Source organism: Homo sapiens, chromosome 19, assembly GCF_000001405.40.
Source record: "Homo sapiens chromosome 19, GRCh38.p14 Primary Assembly".
Lineage (NCBI taxonomy): Eukaryota > Metazoa > Chordata > Mammalia > Primates > Hominidae > Homo > Homo sapiens.
In genome coordinates, this window is record NC_000019.10 from 9435599 (window position 1) to 9462989 (window position 27391).

At 41.8% G+C, this 27391-nt stretch overlaps 1 protein-coding gene and 1 long non-coding RNA gene across 3 annotated transcripts in view; one reads left to right on the plus strand and one right to left on the minus strand.

Moving 5' to 3' along the window:
- Positions 1 to 42: 42 nt before the first annotated feature.
- Positions 43 to 26931, plus strand: LOC105372269 (uncharacterized). Of its 2 annotated transcripts, none has more exons than XR_007067133.1 (3): positions 43 to 174; positions 18753 to 24741; positions 26428 to 26931. It is a non-coding gene; the product is annotated as an uncharacterized LOC105372269 (long non-coding RNA). The 2 variants fall into 2 exon arrangements; XR_001753860.2 differs by having other exon boundaries at positions 18753 to 18906; positions 24492 to 26931.
- ZNF560 (zinc finger protein 560) overlaps positions 10278 to 27391 on the minus strand; it is a 60817-nt gene continuing 43703 nt past the window's right edge. Inside the window, exons 11-13 of the transcript XR_007066601.1 lie at positions 10896 to 11001; positions 10590 to 10738; positions 10278 to 10369 (exon numbers count right to left, since the gene is read on the minus strand). The gene's annotated coding sequence lies outside the window, so the exon portion shown is untranslated. The remainder of the gene's footprint in view (positions 10370 to 10589; positions 10739 to 10895; positions 11002 to 27391) is intronic.

Sequence of the window (27391 nt, forward strand, 5' to 3'; positions counted from 1 at the left end):
TCCAGCCTCAAACCTGGAGGAGCGCTCGGGAACTGCAACCTCAGCCGAGCTGAACAACCTCAGGCAGAGAGATTCTGGTTTACTCCCCAGTGGCTACGGAGACGCCTTGGAGGCCTTGGAGTCTGCTCACCTTGAGGGATGGAGGCCAAAAGGGGCCCAGAGCACAAGGCTGAGGTTAGAACCAGCCCTGCGGACGGGGCTAACCTAGGGTGGGGTCGGTGGTGTTGGCAAAGTTAGAGGTGGGGGCTCCCCCACAGGATGTGCACAATGCTCACAAAAAGCTTTTATTCTCACCTCCTCCCACGTTCCTAGCACCCTCAAAATGATGCTTCCTTTGATAATCCTGCCAGTCCATGATATGGCCTATCTCCTCCATTCATTCAATCTAGTTTTAGTTTTTTATTTTGTTTTTGTTTGAGACAGGGTCTCACTGTGTAGTCCAGGCTGGCGTGCTGTGGGGCGAAACTCATGGGCTCACGCCATCATCCCGCCTCAGCCTCCCGAGTAGCTGGGTCTACAGGCGCAGGCCACCATGCCCGGCTAATTTTTTTTCCCCCAGAGTTGAGGTATGTTACCCAGGCTGATCTCAAACTCCTGGGCTCCAACAATCATCCCGCCTCAGCCTCCCAAAAGGCTGGGATTACAGGCGTGCACCACGGCGCCGGGCCCAATTCAACTTGAGGCCAATATTTCCCCTTATTTCATTTATCTGGACGCCATGCTAAATTCTAATAGTTGATTCCTTTGTGTATTCAATATGCTGATACTTTTTGTAAATGTTGATTTTTTTTTCTTTGACTAATATATTGTTTTCTGAGATCTTACAGTGAGTTCCAGGGCCTCGTTGTAAAATACCGCGTTGTAAAATAGCACTGATATCAGGCATTCACTTCTGCAGGAGTGATTCTAGTTTCTCCAGAAATCGTTTTTGCTGTGCTTTGTAGTGGGTGGCCTTTATGGAGTTAATAAAGTTATTTTGAACACTGTTTTACTAACATGAAGAACTGTTCATGTACATTATCAAATATTTTGTGAATCTACTGAACTGGTAACTATTTTGCAGTTAATTTTTCAACTCAAAAAGATTTTCTTTTTTAAGTTTCCTCTCTTGCATTAAGAAGTCTTCATAAACTCTAGATTACATATAGATTTCCTAATTTTCTTCTGCAGCATATTACTTTAAAAACATTGAAATCTTTCATACTCATGGAATGTGTTTCAGTATGTGGTGTGGGATAGTGGATACAATATCTCTTTCCTCCAGAAACACGGCCAATTATTGTAGTACCACATATTGATAAACTGTCCTTGATTTACTGATTTCAAATTCCATGTTTATTAAACTATAAATTCCTATGTATACCTGTATCTGATTCTAGACTCTATGCCAGTAATACATTTACTTATGCCAATATCAAGATCATAATCTTTTCATTCCAGTGGTTTTGTATCAACTAATAATATTCCGTGGTAATAATAATAATAATGGTAGCTTTTTTGTTTGTTTGTTTTTGAGACAGTCTTGCTCTGTCACCCAGGCTGGAATACAGTGGTACGATCTCGGCTCACTGCAACCTCCACCTCCTGAGTTCTAGGGATTCTCCTTTCTCAGTCTCCTGAGTAGCTGGGATTATAGGCACGCGCCACCACGCTCAGCTAATTTTTGTATTTTTTTTTTTTTTTTTTTTTAGTAGAGATGGGGTTTCGCCATGTTGGCCAGGGTGGTCTCAAACTCCTAACCTCAGGTGATCTGCCCACCTCAGCCTCTGAAAGTGCTGGTGTGAGCCACCGCACCTGGCGGTAGCTGTTTTTTAAATCTTACTACCCTAAATGCTTAATAGACATTAAATTTTTACGCTCCCAATGATGTGGCTATTATTGTGATTTTTCCCTTTTGGTTTTTAGACCAGCTGTATTGAGATACAATTCACATATAACCAACACAGTTCACCCACTTAAAGCTATATAATTCAATATTTTTTAGTACATTCGCAGTGTTGTTCAAACATAATTTTGGAACATTTTAATCACACTAAAAGAAATCTTTGAATGGGAAAACCCATTTACCTCCTCTTTAAGCTCCAGGGAACCACAAACCTACTTTATCACTACAGATTTTTCTTTTGTAGACATTTCATATGGATATACTCATACAATTTATTTTTATTTTTGTATAGACAGGGTCTCACTATGTTGCAAGGCTGATCTCGAACTCCTGGGCTTAAGTAGTCCTGCCTCGGCCTCCAAAAGTGCTGGGATTATAGGCGTGAGCCACCATGCCCGGCCTAAAAATCATACAATCTTTTGTGAATAACTTTTTTCACTTAGCCCGTTTTTCAAGGTTCATCTGTATTATAGCCTAGATCATTCTATTTTATTGCTGAATGATATTCCATTCTATGTATATACCATATATGATTTGTCTTCAGTTGATGGACATATGGTTTGTTTCCACTTTGGGGGTGTTGTGATTAATGCTGCTATGAAAATTCACATATATCTTTTTGTGCATACTGGCTTTTATTTTTTGAGAAATCACAGCTCACTGCAGCCTCTACCTCCTAGGCTCAAGCGATCCTCCCACCTCAGCCTCCTGAGCAACTAGGACCACAGGCATAAGCCACCACACCCAGCTAATTTTTGTATTTTTTTGTAGAGACAGGGTTTTGCCCAGGCTGGTCTCAAACTCCTAAGCTCAAGCAACCTGCCCGCCTCGGCCTCCACAAAGGCATAAGCCACCACGCTCAGCTGGTTTTTATTTCTCTAGAGTATATATCTGGGAATGGAATTGCTGAGCCATACAGTAACTATCTAAGAATTTGAAGAACTGCCACACTGTTTTTGAAAGGGGCTGTACTGTTTTACATTCCCACCAGAAATGTATGAGGGCTCCAACTTCTCTACGTCCCTGCTAACACTTTAGTGTTTTTCATGTTAACTGTGTTAGTGGTGTGAGGTGATACCTCATGATTTTGACTTGTATTTCCCTAACACTAGTGATGTTCAGCATCATTTAATGTGCTTTGTTAGCCATTTGTATGCTTCTTTGGAGAAATTTCTGTTCAATTCCTTTGCCCCTTTTAAAATTTGTTTTCTGGCTGGGCACGGTGGCTTGTAATCCCAGCAATTTGGGAGGCTGAGACAGACAGATCACTTGAGGCCAGGAGTTCAAGACCAGCCTGGCCAACATCGTAAAAGATAAAAAATCAGCCAGGCGTGATAGCACACACCTGTAATCCCAGCTACTCGGGAGGCTGAGGCAGGAGAATCGCTTGAACCCGGGAGGAAGAGGTTGCAGTCAGCCAAGATTATGCCACCGCACTCCAGCCTGGGTGATAAAGTGAGACTCTGTTTCGAAAAAAAAAAAAAAAAAGGTCCGGGTGCAGTGGCTCACGCCTGTAATCCCAGCACTTTGGGAGGCCAAGGCAGGCAGATCACCTCAGGTTGGGAGTTCAAGACCACCCTGACCAACATGGAGAAACCCTGTCTCTACTAAAAATACAAAAAAGTAGCCAGGCATGGTGGCACATGCCTGTAATTTCAACTATTCAGGAGGCCAAGGCAGGAGAATCGCTTGAACCCAGGAGGCGGAGCTTGCGGTGAGCTGAGATGGTGCCATTGCAATCCAGCCTGGGCAACAAGAGCGAAACTCTCTATCTTAAAAAAAAAAATTCCATTGAGTTGCAAGAGTTCTTTATATATTCTGAAGAGAGGTCCTTATCATATATATGATTTACAAATATTTTCTCTCAATAGGTTTTCCTTCTCTTTCTTGATGGAATATTTTAGAATACTAAACTATATAATATTGATGAGTGTCCTCTGAAGTACAAGTTTAATGTTGATAATTTTTTGTTTGCAATGTTTTTGATACTGCACCTAAGAAAACAGTACTAAATCCAGTATCATGAAACTTTTCTGCCTATACTTCTGGGAATTATTGTAGGTCTTACATGTATGTTTAGGTCTTTGATCCATTGTCAGCTAACTTTTGTGGGGTTTTTAAATATTTTAATTTTTTTAGCTTAATCCCCAATGTGGTATCTGTTAACTTTTGTATGTGGTATAAAGTAAAAGCCCAAATGCATTCTTTTGCAGTATGGTATCAATTTCTCCCAGAACCATTTGTTGAAAACATTCTTTTCATTCTTCATTGAATTACCCTGGCAGCCTTGTAGATCTGTTGACCATATATGTGAGGGCTTACTTCTGGACTCTCAATTCTATTCCATTAATTTGTATGTTTATCCTTAAGCCAGTGCCACATTGTTTTGATTACTACAATTTTGTAGCACTTTATGAAATCCAAAAGTGTGACTCCTTCAACTGTGTTCCTCTTTTTCAAGACTGTTTGGCTATTTGGTGTTCTTTCCATTTCTATATAAAGTTTATGATGAGCCTGTCAATTTCTGCTATGAAGCCAGTGCTAAATTAAAAAAAAAAATAACATCAGTGGAACTTGTTAAAGCATAGTAAGGCAGACTTTATTCAGTACCATCACGTTAGGTATAGGGACCACTGCAGTAGGATTTTGCAGTGGAGGTGACAGAGTAGGCTAACTCTGAATAATTATAGCATGAGCAAATGGGAATTTATAGTCAAGTTAAAGAGTAAAGGTCAGTGAGTGGAAAATTGCCAAGAGGAATATCAGGGGTATGGAGGATGGTGGATAAACTGACCTAACATGATGTCTGATCACTTTGGCCTGTAATTGGTAGATAGTAGAGAATCGGGAACCTGATCAGCTATAAGGGTGATCTGATACTGAGGGTGGTAGGTTCTTATTGTACTGACTTAGCAGGGTTCTTGCTAAAACTCAATATACAAAAGTGTACACATGGGCCTAAGAAAAGTTTAAGGAGCTTGACTATAGTTGAGTAAAGCAAAGACTCTGTCACCATCTGGAATTTTGATAGGGATTATGTTTAATCTATAGACCAACTTGGAGAGTACTGCCATCTTAAAAATAATGTTCAGTATTCTTGGTCAGGTGTGGTGGTTCATGACTACAATCCCAGCACTTTGAGAAGCCGAGATGGGCAGATCACTTGAGGTCAGGAGTTCGAGACCAGCCTAGCCAACATGGTGAAACCCCATATCTACTAAAAATACAAAAATTAGTTGGGCATGGTGGCACATGCCTGTAATCCCAGCTACTCGGGAGACTGAGGCAGGAGAACTGCTTGAACCCAGAGGCAGAGGTTACAGTAAGCCGAGATTGCACCAGTGCATTCCAGCTTGGGCAACAGAGTAAGACTCCCTCTCAAAAATAATAAGTATTCTAATCCATCAACATGGGGTGACTTTCCATTACTTTTCATCTTTATCAACATTTTGTGGTATTCAGTATGGAAGTCTCGCACATCTTTTATCAGATTTATTCCCAAGTAGTTTATTATTTTAATACTATAATAAATGGAATTGTTTTCTTTTCTTTTCTTTTCTTTTCTTTTTTTTTTTTTTTTTTGGAGATGAAGTTTCGCTCTTATTGCCCAGGCTGGAGTGCAGTGGTGCCATCTCAGCTCACTGCAACCTCCACCTCCTGGGTTCAAGCGATTCTTCTGCCTCAGCCTCCTGAGTAGCTGGGACTACCGGCACGCGCCACCACACCCAGCTAATTTTTTTTTTTGTATTTTTAGTAGAGACGGGGTTTCACCATGTTGGCCAGGCTGGTCTCGAGCTCCTGACCTCAGGCCTCCCAAAGTGCTGGGATTACAGGCATGAGCCACCACGCCCAGCCAGAATTGTTTTCTTAATTTCATTTTTGGCTTGTGCCGTGATAGTATACATAAATACAACTGAGTTTTCTATGTTGATCTTGTTACCTGTAACCTTGTTGAACTTGTTTATCAGTTTTAATAGTTTAGTGGATTCCTTAGGATTTCCTACATAAAAAATCACATCAGTAGATAAACTTCTCCATTCCATTCTGGATTCATTTTCCTTTCCTTGCTCACTTACTTTTTAAATTCCAAATGGATATGGAATTTTTCATCTTCCCTCACAATACTTTCCTCTCTCTCAAATGTAGTATAGTAATTAGTTGTGTTGAAAACATTCCTGATAATAAGCCATTCTTGCAATCCTAAAGTAAAACTGTTCATAGGGCACTATTTTTTCTCATAACTGGATTAGTTTTGCTAGAAATTTTATTTAGAAGATTTGCATACAGATGAGTTTTCTTTAAAATATCATTACCTAGGACTAATTTAATCTTACTAAGTACCACTAAATCTTGTCTTATCATATTTGAGTAGATGCATTCACTTATTTGATTCTTACAGTACCAAATCAGGCAGCTTATTATAAAATTCATCCACAGTTTACAGAAGATCAGACTGAGATGGCCAGGCGTGGTGGCTCACGCCTGTAATCCCAGCACTTTGGGAGGCCGAGGCAGACAGATCACGAGGTCAGGAGATCGAGACCATCCTGGCTAACACGGTGAAACCCCGTCTCTACTAAAAATACAAAAAATTAGCCGGGCACGGTGGCGGGCGCCGTAGTCCCAGCTACTCAGGAGGCTGAGGCAGGAGAATGGCGCGAACCCGGGAGGCGGAGCTTGCAGTGAGCCAAGATCAGCCACTGCACCCCAGCCTGGGCAAAAGAGCCAGACTCTGTCTCAAAAAAAAAAAAAAGGAAGATCAGACTGAGGCAAGAGAGGCCATTTAACTTCTACAAAATTACGTAGCCAGCAAGAGGCAGAGCCAAGACGTGTACTCTAGCAGTCTGACTCTATTCTGTACTTCACTTTGCTCTATAACCAGTACAGCTTTAAAAGTTTCCTCACCTTTTCAAATGTGTTGACCTCTGTGAAATGCTCTGAGATATTTCTTTTCTTTTCTTTTTTTTTTTTTTTTTTTGAGACAGAGTCTACTCCATCACCAAAGCTGGAGTGGCACAATTTCAGCTCAATGCAACCTCCGCCTCCTGGGTTCAAGTGATTACTGTGCCTCAGCCTCCCAAGTAACTGGAATTACAGGCGTGCATCACCATGCAGGGCTAATTTTTGTATTTTTAGTGGAGACAGGGTTTCACCATGTTGCCCAGGCTGGTCTCTAACTCCTGAACTCAAAGTGATCCGCTTGCCTCAGCCTCCCAATGTGCTGGGATTATAGACATAAGCCACCATACCTGGCCTGAGATATTTATTTTCATGCCCACCTGGCTGAAATTAGTATATATTTGGAGGACCAACTCCCCTTACCTAAAATTAATGTTTCAGTATTTCAACCCCTATCCTTTTCTCTTGTTTTCTCTTCATTAAGAGAAAAGTCTCAGCCACATGTGTGGCTCACGCCTGTAATCCCATCACTTTGGGAGGCCAAGGCAGGTGGATCACGAGGTCAGGAGATCGAGACCATCCTGGCTAACACGGTGAAACCCCGTCTCTACTAAAAATACAAAAAATTAGCCGGGTGTGGTGGCACACGCCTGTAATCCCAGCTACTTGGGAAGCTGAGGCAGGAGAATCGCGTGAACCCAGGAGGTGGAGGCTGCAGTGAGCTGAGACTGTGCCACTGCACTCCAGCCTGGGCAACAGGGCGAGACTCTCAAAAAAAAAAAAAAAAAGGAGATATAAGTCCCTTAAGGAGGCCAGGCGCAGTGGCTCATGCCTGTAATCCCAGCACTTTGGGAGGCTGAGGCAGGCAGATCACAAGGTCAGGAGATCGAGACCATCCTGGCTAAGACGGTGAAACCCCATCTCTACTAAAAATACAAAAAAAAACTTAGTCGGGCGTGTTGGTGGGTGCCTGTAGTCCCAGCTACTCGGAAGGCTGAGGCAGGAGAATGGTGTGAACCCGGGAGGCAGAGCTTGCAGTGAGCCGAGATTGCGCCACTGAACTCCAGCCTGGGAGACAGAACAAGACTCCGTCTCAAAAAAAAAAAAAAAAAAAAAAAAGTCCCTTAAGGAGACCACAAGGATATGAAAGAGGCATGTGAATCCAGGCCTACGCACAGTTCCACTACATGAATACATGGAAGCCATTCCACATTTTGAATCACCATGCACACACACAGAGAAACGCGCAGAATCACCATGCACACACACAGAGAAACGCGCACACACACACAGTTCCTGTGCGTGCAGATGGTGTGACCTGGGAGCTTGAGCAGCTGGCTGCACGCAGGTAACAAACAAACTAAGAGGGCAGAAGTCTAAGAAAGTATTTCACATAGCCATCCAAAGAAACTTTAAGGTGTTCCTTTTCTCTCAGCCCTTAAAAAATGTCATTTAATTTGCTCTTTGCCTTTATGGTGGTGTGTTTTTTTGTTTTTTTGTTTTTTGTTTTTTGAGACAGAGGCTCACTCTGTCACCCAGGCTGGAGTGCAGTGGCGTGATCTCGGCTCACTGTAACCTCCACCTCCCAGGTTCAAGTGATTCTTGTGCCCAGCCTCCCCAGTAGCTAGTATTATAGATGTGTGCCACCACGCCCAGCTCATTTTTGTATTTTTAGTAGAGACAGGGTTTTGCCATATTGGCCAGGCTGGTCTTGAATTCCTGACTTCAAGTGATCTGCCCACCTCAGCCTCCAAAAGTGCTGGGATTACAGATGTGAGCCATTGGTGGGTTTTTTTGCTTGTTGTTTTGAGACAGGGTCTTGCTGTCACCCAGGCTGGATGACAGTGATGTAATCATAGCTCACTGCAGCCTTGAACTCCAGGGCTCAAGTGATCCACCTTGGCCTCCCAAAGTGCTGGCATTACAGGGCATGAGTAACCATGCCCAGGCCTTTATAGTTTCTATAAGAAATCCACAGTCGGCCAGGAGTGGTGGCTCATGCCTATAATCCCAGGCCAAGGCGGATTGATTATGAGGCCAGGAGTTCGAGACCAGCCTGGCGAACATAGTGAAACCCTGTCTTTACTAAAAATACAAAAAATTATATGGGTGCGGTGGCAGGCACCTGAATCCCAGCTACTCGGGGGGCTGAGGCAGGAGAATCGCTTGAATCCGGGAGGTGGAGGTTGCAGTGAACCGAGATTGTGCTATTGCACTGCAGCCTGGAGTGTGAGACTCCATCTCAGAAAGAAAGAAAGAGAGAAGGGGGGGAGAAGAAAGAAAGAAACAAAGAGAAAAGAACGAGGAAAGAAAAAGAAAGAGAAGAAGGAAGGGAAGAAAGGAAAGAGAAAAGAAAAAAAAAAAGGAAGGAGAAGGAAGGGAGAAAGGAAGGAAGGAAAAAAGAAAGAAGAGAAGAGAGAGGGAAAGGAGGAAAGGAAAGGAGGGGAAAGAAGGGAGGGAAGGAAAAAGAAATCCACAGTCAACTGAACTGTTCTTTTATTTATTTACTTTGAGACAGGGTCTCAAAGTACTACAGGCACATGCAACCACACCCAGCTAATTTTTTTGTAGGGGTGGGATTTTTCCATGTTGCCTAGACGGGTCTCGAACTCCTGGGCTCAAGTGATCTGCCTGCCTTACCCTCCCAAAGTATTGTTGGGATTTATAGGCATGAGCCACGAAATGTTCTCTTATAAGTAACATGTTATTACTTCCCAGGCTAATTTCAAGATGTTCTACTTATCTTTAGCTTTCACAACTTTAATTATTATATGTTTTGGCTTATATTTCTTTGGGGTTATGTTTTGGGTTCATTAAATTTCTTGAATCTGAATATTTGTGTCTTTCATCAAATTTGAGAAGTTTTTCATCATTACCTTTTCAAAAACTTACTGCATCACACATCTTCTTCTTCTTTTAGGACTCTAATATCATGAATGTTAGCCTTTTGTACTGTTACACAGCCCTGTGAGGCTCTGCTGCTAGTATGCTGAATAGTTTGGGTTTATATTCAGGGCACTTTGAATATTATAACACTCTGGGCCTTTAAGTCCTATGGAGAACGTAGATTTTTTTTTTTTTTTTTTGGATGGAGTCTAGCTCTGTCGCCAGGCTGGAGTGCAGTGGTGTGATCGTGGCTCACTGCAACCTCCGCCTCCCGATTCAACCGATTCTCCTGCCTCAGCCTCCTTAGTAGCTGGGATTACAGGCATGTACTGCCACGCCCAGCTGATTTTTGTATTTTTAGTAGAGACGGGGTTTGACCATGTTGGCCAGGATGGTCTCGATCTCTTGACCTCGTGGTCCACTCGCCTCGGCCTCCCAAAGTGCAGGGATTAAAGGCATGAGCCACTGCACTCAGCTGATTTTTTTTTTTAATCTGGACAATTACCCAGTTGGGTTCAGCTTGCAAGTTTTAGTCAACGCTCTGAGTTGTGGTTTCAATGAGAGCTTTATTTTCAAAGATTTTGTTGTATGCTTTGTGTCTCTACCTGGAGGCTAGACTACACAGAAGGTCATCTATCTCACATTCCAGCTCTCAAAGTCTATGGTATGTCTCATTGCCACCACAGGATTGCTTGGAGGCTGGAACCAAGTAAATGGAGAAAACAAACTGAGGTATTAATCTCCCTCTCTTTCTCACTGAGCATTAGAAACCACCCCTCCCACCCCCTTGTTGATATTACCAGAACCAGAGGGCTTCTTCTGGAACTCTCCATGTTGGTCATGATGTGTGCCTCTGGTTTTTCAGCCACACTGAGTACAGACCAGATGAAACCAGAAGGGGTAAAACTAGTAAACTTACTGCCTGCTTGGTGGTACTTTGAACGCTGATTTTTTTTTCCATCTCCCTGCTGCTATTTACTTTTCAGATTCTTCAAATAGCTGATGCATTCTGTCCAGGTGGGACATTCAGTGGGACAGACAGGATAACTGCATTTACTCCACCTTTCCCTAAACCAGAACCAATTTTGCCAAGTCATACACACACACACACACACACACACACACACACACACACACACATAAAATATAGGATGCATTCTCTTGTTACTTCTGGTTTCTTTCACAACATCATGTTTGTGAGATTCATCCACGTTAGGGGGTTTACCTGTATAGTAGGCAGAATTCTGAGATGGTGCTTATGAGTCCTGCACTCTGGTATGCCTTGGTATAATCCCCTCCTGTTGAGTGTTGGTAGGATAAACAGTTTCCTCCTAATCAAGAAAATATAGCAAAAGTGATGCAATGTCAGTCAACTGTATTACATTATGTGGCAACAATGAAGGAATTTTCCAGATACAATTCAAGTCCCTATTCAGTCGATTACACATTACACAAAGCGAATAATCTCCTAGAATATTCCTAGGAGAACTTGATTTACTTATAGTATAGAGATATCTAGAGATATTCACCTGACAAAATTAGATGAGTCCCTTCAAAGGGGATTTGGATATCAGTGACTAAAAAATAGCAGACAGCTGGATGCCATGGCTCACACTTGCACTTTGGGAGGCCGAGGTGGGCAGATCACAAGGTCAGGAGTTCGAGACCAGCCTGGCCAATATGGTGAAACCCCATCTCTAGATAAAAATACAAAAATTAGCTGGGCATGGTGGCGCGTGCCTATAGTCCCAGCTACTCGAGAGGCTGAGGCAGGAGAATCGCTTGAACCTGGGAGGCGGAGGTTGCAGTGGGCCAAGATCACGCCACTGCATTCCAGCCAGGGCAACAGAGCGAGACTCCGTCACAAAAAAAAAAAAAAAAAAAATAGACATACTCTCTGTTGCTGGCATTGACAAAATAAGCTGTAAGGAATTCTACAGCCATAACAAAATTAATTCTACCAACAATCTGACACAGATTAGAAGCACATTCTTCTATATTTTAGCCCCAACCCTCTCCAGATGAGAAGGAAACTGTAAGAATTCTGCCACCATGAAAAAGCTGAATGTTGTGACACCACCAAAGGGTCACTCTCACTCTACAGCAATGGTCCCTTTCCAAAATGGAGGCACAGAGATGACAGGTGGAGAATTCAAAGCTTGGCCTACAGGGAAGCTCAGCTAGATCCAAGACAAGATTGAAAATCAACACAAACATAAAGCAATCAACAAAATAAGAAATAAACATCTTAAGAAGTAATTAATCAAAGCTACAGGAACTGAAAACCTCACTTAAGGAATTTTAAAATAAAATTGAAAGCTTCATCAACAGACTACACCAAGCAGAAGAATTTCAGAGCTTGAAGACTGGTCTTTCAACTAACCCAGTCAGACAAACACAAAGAAAAAAATGTAAGGAACAAAGTCCCCAAGAAATATGGGATGATGTAAAGTGATCAAATTTACAAATAACTGGCATTCCAGGGAGAGAAAGAGAAAAAGTAAGCAACCTGGAAACCATACTTGAGAGAATAATTTAAGAAAATTTCCCTAATTGTGCTAGAGAGGTAGCCATCCATATGTAAGAAATCCAGACAACACCTGCCAGATACTACATAAAATGAACACCACGAAGACATACAGTCACCAGCCTAAGGTCAACGCTAGAGAAAAAAGCTTAAAGGCAGCTAGAGGAAATGGCACATCAGGTACAAAGGGAATCTCGTCATCAGGCTAATAGCAGACTCCTCAGGAGAAACCCTACAAGCCAGAAAAGACTGGGGGCCTATTTTCATCATTCTTGAAGAGGAAACTCAAACCAAGAATTTCAAACCTGACCAAACTAAGCTTCATAAGAGTAGAATAAACATTTCTAGAGACAAGCAATCACTAAGGGATTTCATTACCAGTAGACCAGCCTTACAATAAATCCTTAATGGAGTTTTTGTGTGTGCGTGTGGCGGGGGGTTTGTTTGTTTGTTTTTCAGACATTTCACTCTTGTTGCCCAGGCTGGAGTGCAATGACACGATCTTGGCTCATGGTAACCTCTGCCTCCTGGGTTCAAGTGATTCTCCTGCCTCAGCCTCCGGAGTAGCTGGGATTACAGGCATGCACCACCATGCCTGGCTTTTTTTTTTTTTTTTTTTTAGTGGAGACAGGGTTTCTCCATGTTGGTCAGGCTGGTCTTGAACTCCTGACCTGAGGTGTCCACCCTCCTCAGCCTCCCAAAGTGCTGAGATTACAAGCATGAGCCACCTCACTTGGCCCCTTAACGGAGTTCTAAACATGAAGACGAAAGAATGATACCTGCTACCACAAAACAACCAAACCTAAGTACGCAGCCCACAGACCTTTTGAAGCAAAAACAAAATAGAAACTATAAAACAACCACCTAACAGCTTCATAATAGGATCAGATCCTCACATATCAATATTAGCCTTGAATGTAAATGGTCTTACCACCCCATTTAAAAGGGACAGAGTGGCAATCTGGATAAAAACGACAAGTACTATCCTTCTGAGACCTATCTCACACATATGAGACACCCATGGACTCAAAAAGTGGGAGAAAGAGCTATCATGCAAATGCAAAACAAAAAAGAGCACGGATCATTATTCTTTTGTTGGATAAAATAGACTTTAAACCAACAACAGGAAAAAAGGACAAAGAGCACTATATAATGATAAAGGGTTCAATCCAACAAGATGACTTAACCTTCAACATTGGAGCATTCGCATTCATAAAACAAGTACTTCTAGACCTACAAACAGACAGCCAAACAAGAATAGTGGCAGACTTCAACACCCCACTGGCAGTGTTAGATCACTGAGGCAGAAAACTAACAAATTCTGGACTTCAATTTGAAACTTCACCAATTGGACTTAATAGATATCCACAGAACATTCTACCCATCAACCACAAAATACATATTCTTCTCGTCTGCACACAGAACACTCAAAGACCACATTCTCAGCCATAAAGCAAGTCTCAATAAATTCATTCAAAATTTGAAAATCATACCAACCATACTCTCAGACCACAGTGAAATAGAAATAAAAATAAAGATCAATACCAAGATCTGTCAAAATCACACAATTACATGGAAATTGAACAACTTGCTTCTGAATGACTTTTGGGTAAACAGCTAAATTAAGGTGGAAATTTAAAAATTCTTTGAAATTAATGAAGGCAAAAAAACAAGATACCAAAATCTCTGGGATGCAGCTAAAGCAGGGTTAAGAGAAATGTTTAGAGTGCTAAAACACCTACAGCAAAAACTTAGAAAGTCAGCACCATATGAAGTGAAAAAAACAAAAAAGGAACATACCTCAAAATAATAGAGCCATCTATGACATAGCTGCAGCCAACATCATACTAAATGGGCAAAAGCTGGAAGCACCCCACTTAAGAACTGAAAAGGCTGGGCACAGTGGCTCATGCCTGTAATCCCAGCACTTTGGAAAGTCAAGGTGGGTGGATCACCTGAGGTGAGGAGTTCGAGACCATCCTGGCTAACATGGTGAAACCTCGTTTCTGCTCAAAGTCCAAAAATTAGCCAGGTGTGCCAGTCTGTGCCTGTAATCCCAGTTACTTGGGAGGCTGAGGCAGGAGAATCACTTGAACCCAGGAGGCGGAGGTTGCAGTGAGCCAAGATTGCGCCATTGCACTGCACTCCAGCTTGGACAACAAGAGCAAAACTCTGTCTCAAAAAAAAAAAAAAAAAAAAAAAACAACTGAAAAAAGGCCAGGCACGATGGCTTGTGCCCGTAATCCCAGCACTTTGGGACACTGAGGCAGCTGGATCATGAGGTCAGGAGTTCAAGACTAGCCTGGCCAAGATGGCGAAACCCTGTCTCTATTAAAAATACAAAAATTAGCTGGACGCAGTGGCAGGCGCCTGTAATCTCAACTACTCGGAAGGCTGAGGCAGGAGAATCATTTGAACCCGGGAGGCGGAGGTTGCAGTGAGCCGAGATCGCGCTATTGCACTCCAGCCTGGGTGATAGGGCAAGACTTTGTCTCAAAAAAAAAAACTGAAAAAAGAAAAGGATGCGCACTCTAACCACTGCTATTCAACATAGTACTAGGAGTCCCAGCCAGAACAATCAAAGAAATAAAAGGCACGCAAATAGGACTATTTGTCTTCACTGATGATATGAGTCTGTACATAGAAAACTCTATAAGACTCTGACAAAAGGCCCCTGGAGCTGATAAACAACTTCAGAATTTAGAAAACTCAATTCAGTTCTGGATACAAAATCAATGTATAAAAATCAGCATTTATTTGTTTGTTTATTTATTTTTAAAGATACAGTCTCGCTGTTGCCCAGGCTGGAGTGCAGTGGCACGATCTCGGCTCACTGCAACCTCTGCACATCAGCCTCCCGAGTATCTGGGATTACAGGCATGCAGCACCATATCCAGATAATTTTTATATTTTTAGTAGAGACAGGGTTTCACCATGTTGCCCAGGCTGGTCTTGAACCCCTGCCTCCAAGTGACCAGTCTGCCTCAGCCTCCCAAAGTGCTGGGATTACAGGCATGAGCCACCACACCAAATCACCATTTCTGTACACCAATAGTGTTCAAGCTGAGAGCCAAATCAAGATGCAATCTCATTTACAATAACCACAAAATAAAATACCTAGGAATACATCTAACCAAGGAGGTTAAAGTTTCTGCAAGAAGAACTACAAAACAACACTGCTGAAAAACAATGGAAAAACACCCCATGGTCATGGACAGGAAGAATCAGTATCATTAAAATGGCCATAGTGCCTAAAGCAATCTGCAGATTCAACACTATTCCTATCAAACTCTCAATGTCATTTTTCAAAGAATTAGAAAAAAAAACTATTCTAAAATTTATACAGAACTGAAAAAGAGCCCAAATAGCCAAAGCAATCCTATGCAAAAAGAACAAAACCAGAGACGTCACCCTACCTGATTCCAAACTACACTACAAGCCTACAGTAACCAAAATAGCATGGTACTGTTACAAAAACAGACACATACACCAATGGATCAAGGTTAAAAAATAAAAGAAGCCACATACCTACAACCATCTGATCTACAAAGTAGACAATAACAAGCAATAGAGAAAGAATTCCCAACTCAATAAATGGTACTGGGAATAACTGGCTAGCCATATGCAGAAGAATAAAACTGGATCCCTACCTTTCACCATATACAAAAATTCAGGATGGATTAAAGACTTAAATGTAAAACCTAAAACTGTAACAATCCTTGAAGAAAACTTAGGAAATACCATTCTGGGTATCAGCCTTAGCAAAGAATCTGTGAATAAGTCCCCAAAAGCAACTGCAATAAAAACAAAAATTGATAAGTAGGACCTAATTTAACTAAATAGCTTCTGTACAGCAAAAGAAACTATCAAGAGAGTTAGACAACCTACAAAAGAAAATATTTTCAAATTATGCATCTGACAAAGGTCTAATATCCAGAATCTATAAGAAACTTAATTCAACAAGCAAAAAACAAATCCCATTAAAAAATGGGCAAATGGTTTGGCGCAGTGTCTCACACCTGTAACCCCAGCACTTTGGGAGGTCAAGTAAGGAGGATAACTTGAGTTCAGGAGTTCGAGACCAGCCTGGCCAGCATGGTGAAACCCCCATCTCTACCAAAAATACAAAAATTAGCTGGGCATGGTGGCGAACATCTGTAATCCCAGCTACTCATGAGGCTGAGGCAGGAGAATCGCTTGAATCCAAGAGGCGGAGGTTGCAGTGAGCTGAGATTGTGCCACTGCGCTCCAGCCTGGGTGACACAGTGAGACTCCATGTAAGCCAAAAAAAAAAGTGGGGGGCAGGGCAAAAGAACATAAACAGGCAGTTCTCAAAAGAAGACATACATGCAGCCAATAAACATAGGAAAAAATGCTCATTACTAATCATTAGAGAAATGCAAATCAAAACCACAATGAGATACCATCTCAAACCAGTCATAATGGCTACTATTTAAAAGTCAAAAAACATGTTGGCCAGGATGCAGAGAAAAGGGAACATTTGTATACACTGTTGGTTGGAATGTACTGTGGAAAGGAGTGTGGAGACTTCTCAAAAGAACTTATAACAAAGCTACCACTCTAACCAGCAATGCCATTACCGGGTATATACCCAAAAGAAAATAGATTTTTCTATCAAATAGACACATACACTCATATATTCATCACAGCAATATTCACAATGGCAAAGACATGGAATCAACCTAAATGCCAATCAACAGTGGAATGGATAAAGAAAACGTAGTACATATACACCATGGAATACTACGCAGCCATAAAAAAGAACAAGATCATATCCACTGCAGCAACATGGTTGAAGTTGGAGGTGATCATCCTAAACAGATTAACACAGGAACAGAAACCTAAATACTACATGTTCTCATTTGTGAGAGCTAAGCGAGTAATCATGGATACAACGATGGGAACAATAGACACTGGAGACTACTGGGCGGGTAGGTGGGAGGCTGGGGGAAGAGGAGAGAGTTGAAAAACTACCTACAGGATACTATGCTTACCACTTGGGTGATGGATCATTCATATCACAAACCCCAGCAATACACAATTTACCCATGTTACAAACATGCACATGTATGCCCTGAACCTAAAGGTGAGAAAAAATAATGTACTACAATGGAAGCAAAAATTAAAAATAGAAACTAACAAAATAGAACACTATAGACTGAACTGTGTATACACTCTTCCCCGCACAATGTTCATATCTTCGAATCCCAACTCCTAAGGTGTTTATATTTGAATATGGGGGCTTCTAGAGGTAATTAGGGTTGGATGAGATCATGATGATGGGGCTCTCATGATAGTATTAGTACCTTATAAAGAAGAGACACAAGAGTGTTTGCTGTATCTGTCAGCCAAAGGTGAGCCAGCAGAATGAGAGATAATGAGAAAGCAGCACTCTACAAGCCAAGAAGATGCCCTCACCAAAAACCAACCATGTTGGCACCCTGAAGACATTTACAGCCTCCATAGCACTGAGAAAATTAATTTCTGTTGCTTAAGCCATCCTGTGATAATTTGTTATGTCAACACAACTTTTCTACAGAAATCAAACCAAAAATATACTAATCAAATCCATTTATTTTGAAAGGAATTAACAAAACTAAGTAAATTCTAGCAACATTAATGTTTTTCATAAAGGAGAAAAGGCACAAGGAAATGATATCAGGAATGAAAAGGGGTATGCAAAAGGTATGCAACAGCAAAAGGCACAAATACTTAAAATATCAGAAAATATAAACATTGAGTATAAATTTTAAAATACAAAACTACCTATAAAAACAACTCTTGCCAAAACAGACTTAAGATGAAATTGGAAAATAATAAATAAAAACTTTAAAAAGATGAAATTGGAAACCTTACTAGTGCCTACAAAATATAAAAATAATTGAGTCCATGCTTTGAATTCATTCCAAAACATGAAAATAAAATCCCATAACAATGGCAACAAATAATCCAGATTCAGCTGATTCTGCCAGTGAATTGTGACTGATAATACTTGTAATAAGAAAGTACTGTATGAGTTAAGGAAAGGAGAAAATACTCCAACCTTCATACAAAAAAACAGGCAATGATAGACTAAGAAAAGAATATTGCTTGGAACAGGCCCCAAGCCTGGACATAAACAGGCCATGAGAAACTGGCCATAAACAAGATCTCTGCAGCACTGTGACATGCTCGTGATGGCTATGATGCACACACTGGAGGTTGCTGGTTCACCAGAATAAGCTCAAGGAACACCTAGCCCACCCAGGGCGGAAAACTTCTCAAGGCATTCCTAAACCACAAACAATGGCATGAGCAATCTGTGCCTTAAGGACATGTTCCTGCTGCAGATAACAAGCAAGAGCCTGTCCCTTGGTTCTCCATAAATAATACATTCAGTTAATCTATAAACTGCAGAAACGATGTTTATCATGAGTTTACTGTCAATAAATAGTTGGGTCAAACTCTGTTTGAGACCGTCAGCTCTGAAGGTCTCATTGCACTTCTGATCCCACATTGCACTCTCTTTTTGTGTCTGTGTCTTTATTCCTCTAGCACCGCTGGGTTGAGGTCTCCATGACCAAGCTGGTCTCAGCAAGTGGCGCCCAAACATGGGGCTCGAACCCGGGTCGAAGGGTCGCCAGAGCGATGGTTGGAGAACATGGAACTACGCTGGAGCACACCTGAGTACTCTTAAGCAATCCCCATGGTAAGTAAGAAGGGGAGCTCGGAAGCATCAGGGTAACAATGGGACAAGGGTCAAGCAGGCACAAGGCTTATTTGAGTCTGCCTCGGCAGCTCCTCAGAAAAGGAGGAGTGAAAGTTAGCACTAGCTGACTTATGCAGCTTTTTAGTATGGTAGAGAAATATTGCCCCTGGTTTCCGACTGAGGAAATATGGATGTAGAGGTCTGGGAGGAGGTAGGCAGCGCACTGAAAAAGGCGTATAAGGATGGTGCTGAGGATATTCCTATAACTGTCTGGTCAGTGTGGGCTCTGATTCATTCCACCTTGGAAGCTTTTCACACTGATGATGAGGAGGAAGGAGACAAAGAAGAGAGGGAGTGTGATAATGTTGCAGAAGAGATAAAAGAACAGATCCGTCAACCACTTAAAGAGACCCAAGAAGGGGAAGCTTGTCCCTGCCCCTCAGCACCTCCTCAATACCTTGAAGATAGGGAATGGCCTGACCCTCTGGATCTTTCTTTTCTGGAGGACACTGAGCAAAAAGTAGTCTCCCCAGCAACTGTTCGAGCAGAGCCCCGAGTGACCGCCCTCAGTTCTATTCAGGCAGGAATTCAGCAAGCTAGAAGAGAGGGTAATTTAGAGGCTTGGAAGTTCCCTGTTAGGATACACCCCCCAGATCAACAGGGGAATGTTATGGCTACATTTGAGGCTTTTCCCTTTAAATTACTGAATGAGTTTAAACAGGCTATCAATCAGTATGGACCACGTTCTCCTTTCGTGATGGGTCTGTCAAAAAATGTTGCTACCTCCAGTCAGATGATTCCCATTGATGGGACACTCTTACTCGAGCCTGTCTGGCTCCTGCTCAGTTTTTACAGTTTAAGACCTGGTGGCCAGATGAAGCTTCTATTCAAGCTGCCTGCAGTGCACAAATTCAACCTCCAATTAATGTAACTACCGACCAACTTTTGAGAGTTGGTGGCTGGGCTGCATTAGACGCACAAGTGGTCATGCAGGATGATGTTATAGATCAGCTTAGAGGAGTGTGCATTAGAGCTTGGGAAAAAAATCTCTTCAGGTGGAGAACAATACCCTTATTTTAGTGCTGTTAAGCAGGGGCCAAAAGAACCCTATGCAGATTTTATAGCTTGGTTACAGGAGTCTCTTAAAAAGGTGATTGCAGATTCAACTGCTCAGGATATAGTGTTGCAGTTATTAGCTTTTGACAATGCTAATCCCAAGTGCCAGGCTGCTCTGTGACCTGTTAGAGGGAAAGCACATTTAGTTGATTATATCAAGGCCTGTGACAGTATTGGAGGTAATCTGCATAAAGCTACTCTGTTAATGCAAGCCATGGGAGGACTGAGAGTGGGTAAAGGAAATGCTCCATTTCCTGAAGCTTGTTTCAACTGCAGGAAACATGGGCATACGAGAGAGAATGTAGAAAAAATCAGAGGGTCCAACTACCCATTGATGGAAAAAAGAAAACTGCTGAACCAGGTCTATACCTGAAGTGTAAAAAAGGAAAGCACTGGGCCAATCAGTGTCATTCTAAATTTGATAAAGACGGAAACCCGATTTCGAGAAACGCCATGAGGGGCCAATCCTGAGCCACATTCCAAACCAGGGCATTCCTGGCTCAGACCACTCCCTCACCCCTGTATAATGCTTGTCCCCCGCCACAGCTGGTAGTGCCTCAGTAGATCTGTGTTGCACCAGGGCTGTGAGTCTCCTGCCTGGAAAGCCACTGCAGAAGGTACCAACAGGAGTCTGCGGACCTCTGCCAGCAGGAATGGTAGGACTACTTCTGGGAAGATCTAGTTTAAATTTAAAAGGAGTGCAGGTTCATACAGGAGTAATTGATTTGGATTGTAACGGGGAAATTCAAATCGTTATATCTACCTCTGTTCCTTAAAAGGCAGAACCGGGAGAGCGTATAGGGCAGCTTCTGATTTTACCGTATGTGGGACTAGGAAAAAGTGAAACTAAAAGAACAAGGGGATTTGGCAGTACAAATAAACAAGGGAGAGCCACCTACTGGGTAAATCAAATTACTGATAACCATCCTACCTGTGAAAAAACTATTCAGCGAAAGAAATTTAAAGGTTTGGTAGATACAGGAGTGGACATTTCAATCATATCTCTACATCACTGGCCGTCTGCATGGCCAATTCAGCCTGCTCAATTTAACATAGTTGGAGTTGATAAAGCCCCTGAAGTATATCAAAGTAGTTATACTTTGCATTGTAAAGGGCCCGATGGACAACCTGGGACTATTCAACCAATTATAACTTCTATACCTATAAATTTATGGGGGCTCTCCCCCCATACATTTATTACAACAATGGGGAGCACAAGTTCTAATTCCTGAGCAATTATACAGCCCTCAAAGTCAACATATGATGCATGAAATGGGGTATGTCCATGGTATGGAACTAGGAAAAAATTTGCAAGGTTTGAAGGAATCTCTTCAAGCGGAAAGACAAAGTTCCCGCCAAGACTTAGGATACCATTTTTGATGGTAAGCCTGCAGAGCCTATCCTGTTAAAATGGCTGACAGACAGGCCAATATGGATAGAACAGTGGCCGCTGAGTAAAGAGAAACTGGAGGCTTTAAATGAACTAGTCAAAGAACAGCTTCAAAAGGAACATATAGCTCAAACTCTCTCCCCTTGGAATTCCCCAGTTTTCGTAATTAAGACAAAACCAGGTAAATGGAGAATGTTAACTGACTTAAGGGCTATTAATTCAGCTATATAACCTATTGGGGCATTACAGCCAGGACTGCCTTCTCCTGCTATGATTCCAAAAAATTGGCCTTTAATAGCCATAGATTTAAAAGACTTGTTTCTTTACTATCCCCTTAGCTCAGCAGGACTGTGAACAGTTTGCAATTACGATTCCTGTGGTAAACAACTTGCAGGCTGCTAAGCGTTTTAATTGGAAAGTGTTGCACAAGGCATGTTAAACAGTCCAACAATTTGCCAGACTTATGTAGGGCAAGCAATTGAACCTACTCATAAAAGATTTTCACAGTGTTACATTATTCATCATATGGATGATATTCTTTGTGCTTCCCCCACTCCGGAAATATTACTCCAATGTTACGGTCACTTGGAGAATTCAATTTCTCATGCCAGTTTAATTATAGCTCCTGACGCAATTCAGACTACTACTCCTTACGTCTACTTGGGGGCCTTAGTAAATGTCACCACAATAATGCCACAGAAAGTAGCCATATGTAGGATCAATAGAAAACATTGAATCAGACTTTCAAAATTTACTAGGGTATATTAATTGGATACCGCCTGCTCTAGGCATTCTGACTTATGCCATGAGTACTCTGTTTTCTATCTTTAGAGGAGATCCTAGTGTCACAAGCCCTTGGCAATTAACAAAAGAAGCTGAGGCAGAGCTGCAGCTAATTGAAAAGCAAGTCCATAAGGCCCAAATAAATAGAATAGATCTAGAGAATACTCTAGATTTGCTCATTTTTCCAACTCAGCATTCACCTACTGGTGTTATTGTTCAAGAGCGAGATCTTGTGGCGTAGCTTTTCCTTCCATATACTAATTCACGGACTTTGACTCCTTATTTGGATCGAATTGCTACTATGATAGGAAATGGGAGAACTCGGATTGTTAAATTACACGGATATGATCCTGGAAAAATTATTATCCCTCTCACAAAGACACAAATACAGCAAGCTTTTATAAATAGTCTTACTTGTTAAACCCATTTAGCTGACTTTGTGGGTATTCTCAATAACCATTTTCCTAACATGAAACTGTTTCAATTTTTTGAAATTAACTAATTGGATTCTCCCTAAAATGACTAAATCAAACCAATTGAAGGTACTGAGAATGTCTTCGCAGATGGGTCTAGTAATGGTAAAGCCTCTTATTCTGGATTGAAAGGTAAAGTTTTTCAGACGCCCTATACTTCAGCTCAAAAAGCGGAGCTTGAGGCTGTAATTGAGGCATTGACTGCTTTTAATATGCCTATTAATATGATTTCTGATTCTTCATATGTGGTTCTACACAGTTAGTTGAAAATGCTCAGCTACAATTCCACACATAAGAGCAACTGATGACTTTATTTACCCAATTGCAAACAGCAGTTAGGAGTAGAATGCACCCTTTTTACATCACTCACATTAGGGCTCATACACCTCTTCCAGGACCTTTGACTGTAGGGAATCAAATGGCTGATCACCTAGTTGCTACTGCAATATCTAATGCTAGACAATTCCACAATTTAACACACGTTAATGTCTCTGGTCTCAGACACAGATACAGCATTACCTGGAAAGAAGCTAAAGCTATTAACCAGCGATGCCCAACTTGCCAAATGATTCCTTGAGGATTGGAACCTAATTCTCTTTGGCAAATGGATGTCACACATGTTCCCTCGTTTGGGAGACTAGCTTATGTACATGTATGTGTAGACACCTTTTCTCACTTTGTCTGGGCTACATGCCAATCAGGAGAGTCTTCTGCCTGTGTTAAACATCACCTTTTGCAGTGTTTTGTGGTGATGGGCATTCCAGCTTCTATTAAAACAGATAATGCCCCAAGCTATACTAGCCAAGCTCTAGCTACATTTTTCTCTATATGGAATATTGAAGACATTACTGGTATCCCATATAATTCTCAAGGACAAGCTATAGTGGAAAGAATGAATCTCTCCCTAAAACAGCAGTTGCAAAAACAGAAAGGGGGAGACAGTGACTATAGGACTCCACACATGCAACTAAATCTAGCATTATTAACTTTAAATTTTTTGAGCCTGCCTAAAGGCCGATTGTTATCAGCAGCTGAAAAACATTTACAGAAGACAGCTGCAAAGGCAGAAGTGGAACAATGGGTTTGGTGGAAAGGACCCAATAACAAAAGATTGGGAAACAGGTAAAATAATAACATGGGGCAGAGGTTATGCTTGTGTTTCTAAAGGACTGAATCAACAGCCAATTTGGGTGCCATTGAGACATCTAAAGCCCTACTATGTTGGGGTGATCAGACTGAACACTAGGCCATGGGGGCTACGAAGTATGGCAGAGTCAAAGGAATGAGACAAGTTAAGAGTTCATAGGGTGGGTCCAGGGGGCCAACACTAGTATGGAGGCTGCGAAGTCCCTGAGCTCTGGGAGCCCACACTATTTATTGGTGATCAAAGAAGCAGGTGGTGAGGACGTGTGGACATGGGGGTAGACAGGTGAGGATGTGGGGGTAGAAAGGTAGCTGTGATGGTTTAGCATATGCTCTGCTACTTGAGATAATGGAGAATAGGTTCTTCTAACTCAAGATACAATCAATTTATGAGCCACAAGGGGTTTTATGCCCTGGGCTTAGACTGTAGTGCAGCGGGGCAGCCTTCCATCCTTAGGCACAGAGCTTGGTGTTCCATAGGCCACAAGGGGTTTTAGACCCGGGACCCAGGACATGTTCCAAGACTCTTTTACATTATGTCAGACAAGCAGGCCCTGCCTCAGCCCTTCTACCGACACAGAAAGTGGAACAACGGGTTTGGTGGAAAGACCCGATAACAAAAGGTTGTGAAACAGGTAAAATAATAACATGGGGCAGAGGTTATGCTTGTGTTTCTCCAGGACAGAATCAACAGCCAATTTGGGTGCCATCGAGATATCTAAAGCCCTACTATGAGCCAGATAACGAGGAAGAGGTTTTGGGAGGATCCCAAACACCCACTGGTGGCAGCATTGTCCAAGTTGATGCTGAGGATGACCCCCAACTGTCACGAGCAACACTCATCGAAAGCAGCCACCTACCTGGGGACAGATCAAGAAGCTGTCACAGATGGTGGAAGAAAACCTGAGGAAAGCAGGACAAGCAGTCACAGTGAGTAATTTTATGACAGCGGTGATCACCATTGCCATGAGTATTCCTTCAGCAAGGACTGACAAAAAGAGCAATTATACTCATTGGGCATATTTACCTTTTCCACCACTTCTATGGCCTGTAACTTGGCTGGACCCCCCAGTGGAGGTATACACTAATAATAGCTCTTGGATGCCTGGTCCTACAGATGATAGAGGCCCATCTCACCCACACAGGGAAGGAACTGTTATGAGTATTTCTTTAGGATTTAAGCATCCGCCCATCTGTTTGGGAAAGGCCACTAGTTGCCCACCCCCTCAGTATCAATCTTGGCTGGCAATAATGCCTGGACGTAATCACTCTATGGCAGTTACACATGCTTTCTGGTGTCAGTATTTACCATAATGAATCTGCTCCTCTAATTGAGGCATACCGCCCTCAAAAACCTATTTGTAAACAGGATTGGACCCGGTCAGAAAAAATGAATGTACTCATTTGGGAAGATTGCATTGCAGGACAGGCAGAGGTGCTGCATGATTCCTATGGAATCATTATTGATTGGTCCCCTAAGGGGATGTTTAGCATGAATTGCACCTCTGTCTGCATGTGATGGCCACACTATGTTCAGCTGGTCTGAATAAAACGATCAGATGGTAAAAATGATAAGAAGTACCGCAAGAGTTCCTATTATCTGGAAACATGACGGTATAGTGGCACCTCAACCTCAAATGATATGGCCCGCTGTAGGAGCTAAACATAAGGATTTGTGGAAACTATTAATAGCTTTTGATAAGATCAAGATTTGGGAAGGAAAATATACTATGCCATCACAATATAATCCTAATTACATTTTAGAACTTGTTGAAAATAATACAATTTGGATACAAAGTTGTGTTCACCCTCCTTTTGTTGGTAATGGGCGATCTAAAGTTTGACACCCCTAATTATCATGTAACTTGCCAGGAAGGTAGATTGTCCTCTTGTGTGAACTCTTCCTTGTTTAATACTAATCATTCTATACTAGCAGTGAGAGCTCAAGAAGGAGTTGGTTACCGGCGAAGCTTTCCCATCCTTGGGAACCCTCTCCCTCTGTACATATTATTACTAAATTCTTCAGAAAATTCTAAGAAGTTCTCAGTGTTTCATTGCTACTTTAATCTTGATTATTATGGGACTGATTGCTGTCACAGCTACTGCTGCAGTAGCTGGAGTGGCACTACATTCATCAGTGCAGACAGCAGATTTTGTAAATAATGGCAAAAGAATTCTACTCTGCTGTGGAACTCTCAAACTAAAATAGACCAAAAGATAGTTAATCAAATCAATGATCTCCAACCAACTGTAATGTGGGTGGGAGATCAAGTAGCTAGTTTGGAATATGGAATGCAGCTGAAATGCGACTGGAATACTTCTGACTTTTGTATCACTCCTCACCCTTATAATGAATTAGACCATGAATGGGAAAGAATAAAAAAAAGTATCTGGAAGGACACTCTACAAACTTGTCTTCGGATGTTGCAAAATTAAGAGAACAAATATTTCAAGCATCCCAGGCACACCTGACCTTAATGCCAGGAACTGGAGTGCTTGAAGGAGTTGCAGATGGATTGGCAGCCATAAATCCTATGAAATGCATAAAAACACTTGGAGGCTCTGTGATTTCTATGATGGTTGTGCTATTAATCTGTGTTGTTTGTCTTTGTGTAGTCTGCAGATGCGGATCCTGACTCCTGCAAGAAGTAGCTCACTGTGATAAAGCCGCCTTTGCTTTTATTGCCCTGGTAAAACAAAAAGGGGGACATGCTGGGAATAGGCCCCAAGCCTGGCCATAAACAAGCCATAAGAAAAGTCATAAACAAGATCTCTGCAGCACTGTGACATGCTCGTGATGGTTATGATGCACACACTGGAGGTTGCTGGTTCACCAGAATGAGGGCAAGGAACACCTGGCCCACCCAGGGCGGAAAACTGCTCAAGGTGTTCCTAAACCACAAACAATGGCATAAGCAATCTGTGCCTTAATGACATGCTCCTGCTGCAGATAACAAGCCAGAGCCTGTCCCTTTGTTCTCCTTAAAGAATACTTTCAGTTAATCTACAAACTACAGAAACGATGTTTATCACAGGCTGTCAATAAATAGGTGGGTCAAACTCTGTTCGAGGCTCTCAGCTCTGAAGGCTGTTAGCCCCCTGATCCCACTTTGCACTCTATTTCTGTCTATGTCTTTATTCCTCTAGTGCTGCTGGATTGTGGTCTCCATGACCGACCTGGTCTTGGCAAATATTACATGCCAATGTTAATAATATTTTTAAAAAATCTTTACACTATAGGTATATAAAATATTCTAGCAAAAAAAAAAGTTAATCCATTATACTCAAACTGCATTTTTCTGGAATTACAAAGATAATATAACATTGGAATGTCAATCAGTTATCTTTCCACATTTTAAAAAAACTTTTATTTACTTACACATTTAAATATTAGGTATCTATCAAGGGCAAGTACAGTCAGTCCTAGGTACCTGAATTTTCTGAGTAAGGCAAGATCATCAAAGAGGAATCAGGGAAAAGCATTCAATAAATTCTTAAGCCATTCATGGGAAAGATTCCCTAAGCAATGAAAAGTAGAAAAAAACCTTGACCTTTTAAAAATCTACAGCAACCAATACAG